This window comes from Homo sapiens, chromosome 11 (genome assembly GCF_000001405.40).
Source record: "Homo sapiens chromosome 11, GRCh38.p14 Primary Assembly".
Lineage (NCBI taxonomy): Eukaryota > Metazoa > Chordata > Mammalia > Primates > Hominidae > Homo > Homo sapiens.
Genome location: NC_000011.10, coordinates 124,539,319 through 124,543,866, shown reverse-complemented (window position 1 = coordinate 124,543,866; position 4,548 = coordinate 124,539,319). Strand labels below are relative to the sequence as shown.

Genomic DNA, 4,548 nt, shown 5'->3' with positions numbered 1-4,548 from the left:
GTCTCATATTACACTTTGGGAGTTATAATCACTCGGACTGTGAAGATAGACCCACAGTGAGTGGTAAAAACCTTCCTACCAAAGTTCAAATCTCTCTCCTTGGATTCCTTTTCTAAGAATGGGAGATAGAGACTAAGAATGTGGTGGTGATGTTTCTTTCTAAGTGGTCCTCTTCTCTTGTCCCCTCCGACTCTCCTGCCTGACCAAAAAGAATGGCAGCCAAAAACTCTTCTGTGACAGAGTTTATCCTCGAAGGCTTAACCCACCAGCCGGGACTGCGGATCCCCCTCTTCTTCCTGTTTCTGGGTTTCTACACGGTCACCGTGGTGGGGAACCTGGGCTTGATAACCCTGATTGGGCTGAACTCTCACCTGCACACTCCCATGTACTTCTTCCTTTTTAACCTCTCTTTAATAGATTTCTGTTTCTCCACTACCATCACTCCCAAAATGCTGATGAGTTTTGTCTCAAGGAAGAACATCATTTCCTTCACAGGGTGTATGACTCAGCTCTTCTTCTTCTGCTTCTTTGTCGTCTCTGAGTCCTTCATCCTGTCAGCGATGGCGTATGACCGCTACGTGGCCATCTGTAACCCACTGTTGTACACAGTCACCATGTCTTGCCAGGTGTGTTTGCTCCTTTTGTTGGGTGCCTATGGGATGGGGTTTGCTGGGGCCATGGCCCACACAGGAAGCATAATGAACCTGACCTTCTGTGCTGACAACCTTGTCAATCATTTCATGTGTGACATCCTTCCTCTCCTTGAGCTCTCCTGCAACAGCTCTTACATGAATGAGCTGGTGGTCTTTATTGTGGTGGCTGTTGACGTTGGAATGCCCATTGTCACTGTCTTTATTTCTTATGCCCTCATCCTCTCCAGCATTCTACACAACAGTTCTACAGAAGGCAGGTCCAAAGCCTTTAGTACTTGCAGTTCCCACATAATTGTAGTTTCTCTTTTCTTTGGTTCTGGTGCTTTCATGTATCTCAAACCCCTTTCCATCCTGCCCCTCGAGCAAGGGAAAGTGTCCTCCCTGTTCTATACCATAATAGTCCCCGTGTTAAACCCATTAATCTATAGCTTGAGGAACAAGGATGTCAAAGTTGCCCTGAGGAGAACTTTGGGCAGAAAAATCTTTTCTTAAGAAAGGATTAGTATTGGAGGAAGGAGATACAATGCTTTGCTTATTAGTGTGTGTTTTCAGTGAGATTCAAGTTCCATTTTTTTCCTGTCTTGTACAGAAAAAGAATTTTAAATCTTTACATTTGGATGAGTGTTAAGTGCAGACATATTCTCCCTGTCTCTGCTTCACCTAGTTATTCCAGGATTTCTTCATTTTATGCAAATTTTTCTATAATCATAGACCATTTAATCGTGAATTGGCCTTACACATTATTTAATCTAGTCTCTTCAATTAACATGTGTTGGAGACTCAGAAATACATATGTTGCTCAAGGACACACAACTACTTGGTGCCACAACTGGGAATGGAATCCAGGTCCTTGAATTCCAGGCTGCTTTTTTTTTCTTTATGTCATTTTTTCATGCTTCATTGCTGCCCTTGCAGATATCCTTTTAAAAGTAAGAAAACTTAACACATTAAAACCTAATTCTATTCATAGTAATTTAATGTGACCTCTCAATAAATAATTTTTAAATATTTCATTTTTTTTCAAGAGGATAGAAGATGAAACATTTTCTTAAGTTGGTCTTCACCAAATGAGAAGAGAATTGTGTCAAGTTTGTAGAATGTGACTGACATTGAGTTAAGATTGAGGTTGTGTGGAACCCTAGGAACCCAGTCTAGGGAATTAGGACTTCCATAGGATTAAGGGTTATAAAGATGCTGAGTAGAAATCATACATTCATTTGAAAACTTAAAGAATCAGAATGTAGAGCTTTTTCAAGGGTTAGTTTGGGTGTTTGAGCTGTGATGGAGAAATATGTGGCTTAGGATAATCAACTAAGGGTCTGGAAGTTTTCGAGGCGAAGTAAATAATGTTGAGAATCTAGTTAGTTATTAAAACAGCACTAAGCAGCTGATTATTAAAAGAGGCAATTTCCATTGAATTTTAAGGTACTGCAGACTGCACTCATATAAACATATGTGGTAAAAGATAATTCATCCAAGACTGGGTTGTAAACCCACAACATATAATGATAGTTATAGAACACGCCAGATCAATACACTTTGATCTAAATAATTTATTAGTAGCAAAGGAAGGTTCTTTGGATTAGCATTAACCATGTTAAGTGCTGGGGAGACACTTTGATTTCTGAGCTTTTCCTTGGGAATATTCTTTGGGAAAAAGGGAAGTTTAGATGAGGGTGTAGTTTTGTTCTTTGGTATGACACGAAGGGCTTGAAGTCATAAGACTGAGAGTGTGTGTGTGTGTACGTGTGTGTGTGTGTGTGGTGGGAAAGATTTTTCTTTAGTCAGCGTGGAATAGGAAAGAGAAGTGAGTTCAGGAGACTTGTGGGTGGGCGTCTGGTGGGTGAGGTGAATAGGCTATTTGAGGTAGAGAGCAGATGAAAACAGCGATTCGTGAGGCACATGATGAAGTTGGTTTTGTATCCTGGCTCAGTTGCTTAGTAATTTTGTGACTTTGGGCAAATTACTTAATGTCTCTAAATATTAATTTTTTTATTTTTGAAAGTGATGTAATGATTCTGACTTCGTGGGGTCTTTGAAGAATTAAATGCAGGGCACTTACTACATTTTAGTTATCACCCTGCAATAATTCTTTTATGTAATTATCAGCACTTCCTTGAGTTTTTCCATGAGCTGAGACAAGTCACTTCATCTTCCTGGAACTCTGCTTAGTCATGAGAAAAATGAACTCTAAGTATCATTTAAAAAGTCATATATTTTGACTAAGTAATATTTGCGTATGGTACAGCACTAAACAATATAAATGGGGGTTATACAGTGAAAATATGTCTTCCTCCTATCTTATCATTCCATTCCTAAAATCTCCTTCCTAAAAACAACAGTTGTTGCTGATTTCCTATGAATCTTCTCATATTCGAGCATATCTATCTATGTATCTTTCTATCTATGCATGTATCTGTGTATGTATGTACATATCTATCTAATTTATCTAATCTATCTGCCTATCTATTCATCCACCTATCTTGTTTTAAAGTTGTATAAAAAGGCATTTTCCAAAGGAAACAGCCTAGAAGAGGATGGGATAAGAGAACAATGCAGGGGTAAAAAGAAGAGGAGCCAATCACAGAAGAGGTCTGGGAAGGGATGCAGCTGAGGAGGGAGAGAAAGAACAGAGGCACACTTGGCCCTGGATGCATCACTGTGGACCCCAGCCCTGGAGCCACAGGGTAACATTTTGGTTCCCTGATCTTCTGTCCTCATCTCGTGGTTGCACCACTCCCATCACTATTTGGTTGATATTGTGGTGAGGTCAGAGCCTCTGATAGTTAAGAATATCAGGATGGCAAGTATTTTTAATCCGTCACAAAGTTCTATACGTGCTTATCTATTTTAACTAATGAGGCACATGGTTTTTCTTTTTCTGATTCTTGGAGCAACTCATATATTATTGTTGAAAATTTGGAATGTGAAATATGTGTGAAGAAAATGATTACCTATATCTCAATGTGGTAGTTTGAGTTATTGGTCAAAATTCGTCATTCATCTAGTAGTATTATATATCCATTCCCTTGCCATGGTCTCACAGAAGTAGGGTATATTTTTCCTTGCCTATGACTGTTGGCTTGGCCAGGTGAACTATTTTGGCTAATAGGATATTAGTAGATGAGATGTTAGCAGGAGCTTGGAATATCTTTGCATGGTATTTGCCCTCTTCGGCTTCTGCCATTGCCTTGAGAAGAGTCCCTCCTGGGTAAATGCTGCCGCTCCCAACTAATTCTCAATATGAACACACGAGGAGCAGTGTTCACTGTGCAGAGCAAGCAGTGCGGCCCAGCTGAGCCCAGACAAGACGAACTACCACAATCAATTTGTAGACATATGAGAAACAAATATTCCTTGTTGTATGCCAATGAGATTGTGTTTGGTTGTATAATAATAGCTAACTGGTCTACTCCACCATTCGGAGAACAGGAAAGGAGAATATTGTCTGGAATATGAAAGTCTCTTCCAGTGGGATCATCCTGTATGTGCTGTGTTACAAAATGTTGTTTAACTTATCATTATAATGTGATCTTTATTCCTTATCAATATTTTTTTGAATTGTAATTTTCCATGGACTTAATTAATCATGTAGCTATGTCATATTTTATTTCAGCTTTTTCCTGTTGCTAAACATTAACACTGTGTCAGTCTCCCCAACATTTAATTGATATAAATAATACCATAACTATGAGTTTTGTGTTAAAATTTTTTAAAAAATTAAGCAATCTCCTACTGAAAGAATGTGTTAAAATTTTTATCTAGATTTCTGATTATTTTCTCAGGAGAGATTCCTGTTGTGTCTTTCTTATTTTTCTATTCAAAATATTTTTCGATTTTCCCTGTGATTTCTTCTTCCTTGACCTATGTGTTGTTTAGTCATTCTTTTCTCAGA

General features: G+C 38.7%; 1 protein-coding gene across 1 annotated transcript; it reads left to right on the top strand.

The window, feature by feature from the left end:
* The first annotated feature begins 212 nt into the window (after nt 1-212).
* On the top strand, nt 213-1,145 carry OR8B12 (olfactory receptor family 8 subfamily B member 12). The gene has a single exon (NM_001005195.1). The coding sequence runs from the start codon at nt 213-215 to the stop codon at nt 1,143-1,145; it is 933 nt and encodes a 310-aa protein (NP_001005195.1).

Bases quoted from the DNA above. Each gene is read 5' to 3' on its own strand.
- OR8B12 (NM_001005195.1), top strand. From the start codon at position 213: ATGGCAGCCAAAAACTCTTCTGTGACAGAGTTTATCCTCGAAGGCTTA.